The sequence below is a fragment of the Homo sapiens genome, chromosome 11, assembly GCF_000001405.40.
Source record: "Homo sapiens chromosome 11, GRCh38.p14 Primary Assembly".
NCBI lineage: Eukaryota > Metazoa > Chordata > Mammalia > Primates > Hominidae > Homo > Homo sapiens.
This window is the reverse complement of record NC_000011.10, coordinates 106,408,266-106,418,811: the sequence shown is the minus strand read 5'-3', so window position 1 is coordinate 106,418,811 and position 10,546 is coordinate 106,408,266. Positions and strand designations below refer to the sequence as shown.

General features: G+C 38.9%; 1 long non-coding RNA gene across 1 annotated transcript in view; it reads right to left on the bottom strand.

Moving 5' to 3' along the window:
• Nucleotides 1-9,627: 9,627 nt before the first annotated feature.
• The window catches only part of LOC105369474 (uncharacterized), a 41,954-nt gene continuing 41,035 nt past the window's right edge, over nucleotides 9,628-10,546 (bottom strand). The window contains exon 3 of the long non-coding RNA XR_947985.1: nucleotides 9,628-9,669. This is a non-coding gene — a long non-coding RNA (uncharacterized LOC105369474). The remainder of the gene's footprint in view (nucleotides 9,670-10,546) is intronic.

Genomic DNA, 10,546 nt, shown 5'->3' with positions numbered 1-10,546 from the left:
ACTACTAAGCATATGTAGCACCTTAATAAAAATTTACTGAGTTGTACTAGTCTCTAACAGTGTATTTTTTGTGTGTGTAGGATCTGGACCAACTTATTTATTTATTTATTTATTGAGACTGATTTGCACTGTATCACCCAGGCTGGAGTGCAGTGGCACGATCTCAGCTCATGCAACCTCCACCTCCCAGGTTCAAGCAATTATCCGACCTCAGCCTCCCGATTATCTGGGATTACAGGTGCCTACCACCATGCCAGGCTAATTTTTGTATTTTTAGTAGAGATGGGCTTTCACCATGTGGCTAGGCTGGTCTTGAACTCCTGACCTTATGTGATCCACCCACCTCGGCCTCTCAAAGTGCTGGCATTACAGGCGTGAGCCACTGTGCCCGGACAGGATTAACTAGTTGCTTGTTTCCTGGTATGCTATCAAAACTACTCTAGGCCACAGTGTTTCCACTTTTTAAATTAGGTATTTGAATGAACTCCAATTATACTCTCAGAACTTCTGATTTCTTCTTGAATCATAGCTTCTTATTTCATTTATTCATGAAAATGTTCTTAGTAAACGGCTAGAGGAGCCAAGTGTCTGGAAATCTTGGGGAGAAGGTCCACAGTTATCAAGGCTCTTCTTAGTGTCCTCTTGACTACAACTCCACATCAGGAGGCATTTTCTCCATGACAAACCTGCAAATTCTGTGAGAAGGTAAATGAGAATGCCTGCTTGGGGGAGGAATGAATGCAGATTAAAGTCTGCTGTTTGCCAGACACTGTTCTAGAACTTTAACATACCTTATTTATTTAACAGTCACCACATCTCTACGGCGGGGGGGCAGGGGAGGGGCACAGTATTGTATGTTATGCTATAGGGGAAGAATTAGAGACTTAAAGAAAGTAGGTAATTTCCCCAGCCTCTGGCATCTTATAAAGAGTGAAGTCAGGATTTACCAACTCTACTGTAAGACTGCAACTCGTTAAGACCATCATCATCTCTCAACCCAACAACTGTAATGGATAGCTAGCTTGTTTCCAGCTTCCACTTTTCCTGCATAAGCTTATTTTGCAACACATACAAGCACAAATCATATCATAGCAAACCTTGCTTAAAAGCTTTCAGTAATTTTCCACTACTCCTAGAATAAAACCCCATGGCCTATGAGATTCTCCATGATCTCTCTCCCCTCTGCCTCTTCTACAATTCTCCTGGCCTTTTGAAAAGCAAAGCCCTGATACTTCTCAAACTTGTTCCCTGCCTAGGCCACTTGCATTCACCATTCTCAGTGCCTGGAACACTTCCTCTAGATCCGTAAGTGGCTGGCTGCATCACCTTACTCATAGCTACCCCTCAGCATCCATCCCATTGTCCTATGTCATTTTTTATAACAGTTTAATATATAAATATGTAAACAAAATTATTAATTTTGTACACATCTTTCTTATACACTAAGGTATAAGTTTCACCTATCTCCAGCATGTAAAACAGTGTGGTGGTTGGAACCATTTTATAAAAGAAATAATAAATTCCTCTGTGCGTGCAAAAAGTGATTTAAGGATAACCTATACATGCAGATTTCTTCCCATTTATCTTGGCATTTTATTTAAAGGTTAAAATAAAAAAGCATATGAAGACATGCAGTGGATCCTTTAAAAACATTTCTCCTTCCAAGGAAATAGATGTCTTCTCTTACATGCACAAAACAAAAGCCTTTTCACAAAATACTGTCTCCATGAAAAATAAAAAGCCCCAAAACATCGCTCTCAATCATTAGGCAGCTTGGCACACATACAGGGTCTAAAACTGTCATCCCATAAGCTAAACATATGAAGGCAATGATTGCAGGAATCTCACCAAACCCTTTGCTGTTGTTCCTCACCTATTCCCACTCTCACCCTCTATCCTTTAGGTTACTGATTTTTCCTCCATTTCCCATTCACTATCCTGGTCTTCAGAGTTGACTTTTTTTGGTCTCCTTGACTTGTGAGGCTCACTTTCTTTTAAAGAGTTTGTCTTAGAACAAGTATGCTACCTTTCTGTGTGTCAGCCTGACCTGTTCAAAGCATTCTGATTTATGCATACCGCAGGCCTTCCTAGCTTTTTTTTGAGACAGTCTCGCTCTGTCGCCCAGGCTGGAGTGCAGTGGCGCGATCTCGGCTCACTGCAATCTCCGCCTCATTGGTTCAAGCGATTCTCCTGGTCAGCCTCCCGAGTAGCTGGGACTACAGGCACCCACCACCACAGCCATCTAATTTTTGTATTTTTAGTAGAGATGTGGTTTCACCATATTGGCCACGCTGGTCTTGATTTCTTCACCTCGTGATCCGCCCACCTCAGCCTCCCAAAGTACTGAGATTACAGGCATGAGCCACTGTGCCCGGCCCTTCCTAGCTTTCTTTAAAGAGAAAAGCAACACATGCAAGAAACTGGAAAACCCAGGCTTGACCTTCACATCCACTCTGGGCTGTAGCCACCTTGGTCTATTTGCAGTAAGTCTCTTTCCCTCTTTGTCTTTGACTTGCTTGGGACCCTCTTTCCAACTTTTTCTGACTAACTGTACCTCATGACTTAAGTCTTGTCTTAGATGCCATTATCTTTAGGAAAGCTTCTCTCATGAACCAAAGCCTCAATTAAGAGTCTCAGTTGATCTCCTGGAGTCCTGTATTTTGCCTTTTAAACAGCTATGTAATTTTTTGGTTTCTCATCTATGTAGTCCATAGGAGGACTCAACATAAGATGCTTGAGAGTAGAAACTCTTGTCATATTTGTCGTTTTCCTCCTGTTGCCTAATATAATACCTGACACATAAGAGCTTAAGAATATTTTATTCAGTTACTGGACTAACCTGCCTAGAAGCAGAAGAATCTCCCTCTCTTTTGCTTCATACCCCTCCCTGACTTCTGGGTCTGATATCTTTGTGGACCTGCTTATTTTAAGCACACAGAGTTAAATAGTCCAGGTGATAATAGACCTGGAGAGTTCTTCCGGTGCTGTCACTTGGCTGGCTCAGATCCCGTCTGTCCCCCACAGTGCTCCTGCTCACAAGCATCACCTGAGACCTATGCAGTACGGCACGCAGCTGTGTACTTTCTACACCTCTGAAAGCAGGTCACAAGGAGCTCCGATTATGTCCACATTCAGCTCCCTCTACAGGGAGGACTGGCCCTAACATTTCCAATCTACAATAATTCACTTGATCACATCTTTCTGATTTAGAAGGTGAGGATAACTTTGTTAAAATTGTGGTTTTCTAATTTTACATTCAAGGAAAAGTCAAATTGTGAAATGATTTAATTACCAAGGGCACATATGGCAATGAGCTAAGTGGAGAAGGGCGTGAGTTGCAAAGTTCCACTACTTAGGGAAGAATTAAAAACAATCTCAGCTTCCCTTGTCTGAACTTTGAAAAGATGTGCATTTCAAAGGAATGGGGGGCCTTCTGAATAACACCATGGGCAGGTACGTTCCTTATTAGGAGTGAAAGCTCTTACTTATTTGAGATGTGAAGGAAATATTAACTTCCTGTGTTTGTTATTATCTAGGATTATGACAATGTTTTTAGTTTGTAAATCTTTATCTGCTAAAACCTCTTCTGCTAAGGATGAACCTTGGGACTCTCCAAGTCACCAGAATAATTGGCCTTCATCTATCCCTGCAGAAACACTGCTATGGATCTCTGTGCGCTTAGAATAAAAGCTGTGTTTCAGTAGCACAGTTGCTCCTTTCCAGAACATACATATATACATATATACATATAGCTATATACATATATTTCTCTCCTAAAACCTAGCCCTCATTTCAGTGGTTCCCATATCTGACTTCATTTTATATAATTGTGCTTCTCTATGCCTCCTTATCTTTGCAAACTCCTCTACGATTTCCCTTCCCAAATTTATCCAGCAATGTACTGGGATTATGTCATTCTTTTGAGGATCTGTTCTCACCATATTCTCATTTTATACTTTCTTTTTCTAGTCCTGAATCACACTGCTTTGTCCTTCACCAAATAAGGTGCATTTTTTCTCCTCTCTAGCTAGAGTTTACTTCTGTCCTCTCTTGAGCTACTGACCTGCTTTCAGACTGGCAAAGAGATGCCTTACTCTCTTGTGATTTGTTTACATATCTGTCTCCCACTGTAGGTACCAGGCTCCTTAAGAAAATGCTTTCTTTAGAGCCCCTCTCAGCGCAGTGGGCAGCACGTCAGTCTCATAATCTGAAAATGCTCTCTTTGTCTTTGTGTTCCCAGTCTTGCTCCTTACATGGCACCTAGTCACTCAATGATCTTCGGTGAAATGGGTTATTCTATGGAGTATTGGCAAGGATCTAACCAAATGCTGATGGCCAGGGGCCCTTGTATGTTACAGGGTTATGTGGTCAAACACCATAATCAAATATGAACAATAATACTTTTAAACGAGGACAGAGTTTTCCGTAATATTTTATTCCTTTGTCTAGCTTTAGGGTCCCAGAATGTATATTAAGTCTTTCAAGAAGTAAAAGTGAGTATTGACAACTAGCAAATGTTTACAAAAATTAAAATGCAATCAGCCCTAGACTAAATAAAATTCTTCCAAGACTTTAATTCAGTGGTTCCATTCAAACATCTTTCTTAGGTAATATTAGGAGTAACAGTTGCATAATTGGGAGGCTATATTACATCACCAAAACTTGTTAAATCTATTTTGTAAATTTAATCTCAGGATAGATAGCTTAATCAATATGGATAAAAGGTGGGGGTAACAATATGGATATTGCAATGCTTCTAGATGATTATTGTTTTCAGGAAAATACAATCAGATCATTTTAAAGAGAGACAGTAATTAAAAACTGTTAGTAAAATTTCAGATCACATTGATCTCTACAGTGTCCATGTGCCATTGGAAGTTGAAATTTGGTATCATTCTAATGACCCTTTTCATTAATGATTATCTTGACTTTTTTTATTTCTATAATTCTTCAGATTGAAGGTGGAAAAAACAGTATACTCAAGGAATGGTAGTGGGGGAGAAATAAATACATCATATAAATCACATGTCATTCAAGTTCCTGGCTTCCATAGTCACATCCTGACAATCCTTGTTCACCCTCTGTGTGACAGCTCTGTAATAAAGAGGGCAAACATAATCAAACACTGCCCTTCTGCTTTAAATGTTCATTTTTTAATGACACCAAGAGACAAGCAAAAGTATTCAACATGAATAATGCTTAAATAAAATATATTCAAATTGCTGTGCAATTGTGTAACTCCCTCCGTCCCCCCACCCATTCATATGACTGGGTTTGGAGATGAGGTCTTTAGGAGCTAATTAAGGTTAATGAGGTTACAAGGATGGGGCCCTAAACTGAAAAGACATGTGCATGTGAGGACAAAGCAGCCACCTGCAAGTCAGGGGGAGCCCTCACCAGAAACTGAACCCCACTGGAAACTTGATCTTGCACTTTCAGCCTCCAGAACTGTGAGAAAATAAGTTTCTGTTGATTAAGCCATGTAGTCTGTGGTACTTTGTTAAGACATCATAGAAATATGAAAAGAGAAGAAAGCATTGAAGACACTGTCTGAGAATGTGGATCAGGGTGAGCATCTATGGGAGTGTCTATGAAGCAATGGCATTTGACTTGAGACTTGAAGAAAGAGAAGGTTCTCCAGGATATATAAATAAATAAACAGAAAAGAGTTTACCTGGAAAACAAAAGAATGAGAGACAACATACAGAGCCAAGAAAGAACATGGCACATTCAAGGAAAGGGAACAACTTGGTGTGACTGAGATACATGGCAGGTGGGTGGGAGTAGTGATGAAGCCACAATTGTGGTGGTGGGACAGTCTGTGAAAAGGCTGATGACGATGGTTCTGCCAGGAAAGATTAAACAGGAGAGAGAGGCTTCATGCATTGAGACACCTCTGGACCATTGTACTAGTCCAGATGACAAACGATGAAGGAAGGGACTGGCTAGGAAAGGGATGAATTCAAAAGAGATTTGGAGATAGAGAAAACCCTCTTTGGTTTTCTCTAACAGTGATGATCCTGTTACTAAGAGAAGAAATATATAAACAGGTATTTAGATGTTGGAACCACATGGCATGTTGTTAATTATGTTTCTTTCTATTTAAAAAGAAAAAAGACATTCTAGAAGCCTCCAAGTAGGGAGAGAGATATAGATAAGTAAGAGTAAGAGAAGGACTTTCCCTCAAAAAATGTATTACCTACAAGAGGACAAAATACAAATGTTTCAACAATGATAAGACAGCATATGCTATATTCCATAATAAATGAATACATAATTTTAGAAAAGCACTTCAAAAGAGGTACATTTTACATTTGGTCAGCTAATAGAAAATGTTATGGAATGAGTTTAGCTGTGTTTGAATCTCAGATCTGTCATTATCTGCCTGGATAAATATAGGTGCTGAATAAATGTTGGTTGAAAATGGATAAGTGATAACTTTGGATAAATAAATTTCTGAATCTTCATTTCTTTTCCGCAAAACACAATGCCTAGAATATAAGGTGACCTGGCCGGGTGCGGTGGCTCACACCTGTAATACCAGCACTTCGGGAGGCCAAGGCAGGCAGACTACCTGAGCTCAGGAGTTCAAGACCAGCCTGGGCAACATGAGGAGTCCCCATCTCTACTAAAAATACAAAAATTTGCTAGTCATTGTGGCGTGTGCCTATAATCTCAGCTATTTGGGGGCTGAGGTGGGAGAACTGCTTGAACCCGAGAGGCGGAGGTTGCAGTGAGCCAAGATTATGCCACTGCACTCCAGCCTGGGTGACAGAGCAAGACTGTCTCAAAAATAATAATAATAATAATATAAGGTAACTGAGGAATTTCCTGTTAGCATGAAATAGGTACCCACAATCTGTGCCCTGGGGATGTCATTTATTCTTCCCAAAAAGGATCAAGAATCTATAGGTCAGAAAAGTGAGATTGCCCCCCTCTCCCTACTGATTTGAAAAGTCAACCAAAACAGTGTGTCCTATGCAATTCTGGAGACATCTGTGTTCACCCAAATCTCCAAACATCCTGAAGAGGCATCTGAGACTCCATTCTTGAGGTGAGTGGGGGTTGTGGGGTATGTGTTGGGAAGCAATGGGTGTGATGTGGGTGTGTGTTGCAGGGAGAGGGAAAAAGGAGAAGAATAGAAAACTATGTACAGGCTTGAAAATGACAAATTTCTCATTCTTCTGTGATATAATATAGGAAATATTAATCACTAATTTTTCTGCAGAATTAAACATATTAATATCTAAGTTTTATGTGAAAACTGACCGACTGAAAATAAAACAGCAAATCAAGGACTACAAACATACCAATTATTCCCTGGTTAATTACTTGTATAGCTTGATTTGAGGTGTTAGCATGCGTTTTTAAAAATTGTTCATGGCATCTTTATATTTATCCTTTCTCAGATATTGAGCCAATTAGAAAACAATAGCATTGGTAATTCCTGTATAACACACTCCATTTTCTCCAGGATTGACAATCTTGCTCTCAATACCTATAACCAGCAAGACTGAGTGATATATCGTATATGTGACATATCACTGGTACCTTACTAAAATGTATATATGATTGAATGTTAGGAGATTTACAATACATAGAAAATGCAATCCCTTTTATCTAATATAATAAGATAACCAGTGGCATTAATAATGTGCCACATGATTGCACTTAATTTCACCACAGGTAAAAGAAGATTTAGAGATTTGAAAATGTGGATGTCACCTCTGACAACTAAACAACATAAGTAGACAATAAAGTGCTATTAAAAAATGGAACACATCACTCAAGTGCAAAGCCCAGGTGCTGGAGACTTTGATTCAAATCTGAACTCCTAACACATGCAATACTCTCAAAGTTACATGATAAAATATAGATTGTAATTACTTACATGTACATCTACCTGAAAAATGGATCAGACAAGAGCAAAATAGGGAAATATATCTGTCTGTTGCCAATCATTCTAAAAAAAAAAAAAAACCTATAGTAACATGAGAAAACCTGATAGAAAACTGTGAAAATTGGCAGCTTTATCCTTTTTTCTGTGACATACTAACATAGTTTACAAATCCAAAAGTGTTTGCCAACTTTTGCCTGTGTCTTACTGAAATGGGATAAAAATATAGCCACAAGTGGATGGATCCATCACAGTGCTAGATTCTACCATTAGTAGAACCAGCCTCGATCCTCAGTAATCACAGTGGGCTGTTGGCCATCAGTACTGCCAGTTTCTGTCCAAGAGGATGGCCCTTACTTCTCAACCAGAGCCCTCAGGTATTTTTCTCTTAAAATTAGCCCTCAAAAAAGAATTGGGAACTGATTTGAACCAAAATGTTAATAACTAACAGTAGCTTCAACTGGTTTCACATTTTACATTTCAGAGAACTCAAACCATTAAACTAAAAAATTATTAATAGCAGGAATCAGGAACCTACAGCACTTTTTTCAAATAAGGCTGAACATCTAAGGATTTATTTTAGTCCTCATTATATAATGAAAATGCCCTGGGTAGTTTGAACACCTGGGCTAGCTCATGTACTCAGTATATATAAAAGACTAGGCAATAGAAAGAAAGGAAAATAGATGAAGCTGTAACAGGAATTAGGCCTTAAACTTAATTTCAACTCAGTTTTTAACTCAATAATTAACTCAATTTCCCTACTTGATGTCATTTTCTTATTATCCATGCAAATGTGTTCAGAGGAAACTTTGCTGTTAGAATACATTTCTGCTTTCTAACAAGTAGAGAAAGAAAATTAGAAGTGGTTGCAACAGCTGTGATTCTTTTGTGGCATCTTGTTCTGGATCAGAAAATGTGTCTAGCACTTGCTTCTAAGCATTGTCTTAGAAGATCATTAACGTAGATCTACTTTCTCCCATTTTGCAGATAAGAAAACCAAGAGTAGTTGTGAAATTCCCTCATGAAATATCACACAGCTAGCATGCAGTAAAACCAGGTTTTACAACTATCCTTTAGTGACCTCAAAGCTTCACTCTTTCCATTCCACTACGACAGATAGGAATTTTGCAATTATATAGTCAAGTATTTTCAAAGGTGTCATATATGAGTTTGTCTATCTGATTATGCATTTAAGGGTAGAGACTACTGTGCCTTTTGAGAAAACTGTACTTATATACCTTTGGGCCTTGAAACCTAAAGCAACTATAAATTTTCAGTTCACATAAGAATATTTCTAATTAAATATAAGGAATTAGCATTACTTGTGTTGTGTCTCAACCTGTATATACTCAGCATTGTCATAATGATTCTAAGATTTTGCTTGCTATAGTGATCTCAGCTATCTGACAGGCAATTTACCAGATCTCATTTTTACTTATTTAATTCATTTCTGTGCTCCTTTTAAATATGGGTGCCACACATGCCTGCTTCCAGTTTATGACTCATCTATTTATTATGAGTTCTGGGCTTTGGATCTTTCTTCAATTGCTGTTATGGTTGCAATATCACTCTATATAGTCCTACAAGGTCATTCTGACAAGAAGAACTCAGGTTCATTATGTAAGTGGCCAGGTGATCTATTATTACTCTCTTTTTGTGTCAGGTAATATAATGAAAGCACTGAAAATGTTGTCTCGTTCTATCAAAATGCATTTTAACTTACAGTTTCTCTGTGTGTATGGCTTCTGCACTTTTGAACTGGCAACATCCTGAAAAATCCAAAGACATGGATAATAATAAAAAATCACTATAAATATTAGGCACCTTTTGAAAATAAATACAGTGATGCCTTTATTCGTGCATTAATTGGATCATTCTTTTGTTTTTAACTCAAAAAGTACTTACCTTCCAGGCACTGCGACTCCTCCTGGAGGATGTATCGGAGAACAAGGCACTGCCTCTACCCATAGGGAACATGCAGTGCAGAGGAGATACAGACAAATAAACAGAAAATCACAATTGAGAAATGTGCTCCAATGGGGCAAGCACAGAGACTATGGGAGCCCTTAGGAATAGCACTTACTACAATCTTGAGAAGTGAGGGAAAATTTATTTTACTAGATCACAGTGTTATTAATGACAGATGACCCTGGAGGGGAAAGCAAGAGGACTCTCACAAATAGTCTTGCACATAATGTTGAGAAATCTGGCCTTCATCTAGTGGGAAATGGGGGCCATTAAAAGGTTTTTAATCAGGAGGGTGGCATGATTACGTGTGCATCTTTGCAAAGTCATCCTAACTCCATTAAGGAGAACATAAATACGTTCAGTCTTTGGCGACACATTTTTTTGGATAAAGTCTTCCTAGAAAAGTGAAAGGTAAGGTGAGATTAATCTCAATCAGGATAAGGGGGGTGAGGACTGAGGGAGAAACTGCCCAAGAATGGCCTGAGATCTGGGCTTAAGTAAGGAGGTGTCTTACTTCTGGGTCTTCCATGATCTGGGTTCAGAGAAGGTTGATCAGGCCATGTTAAGACTGAGAGGATCATTCCCAGAGAAACATGATAGCTAGGTGCGAGATAAAGGGGAAAGGTAGCCTCAACTAGCAGTAGAGAGAGAAAAGTATTACTGAGCAATCGACTGCCT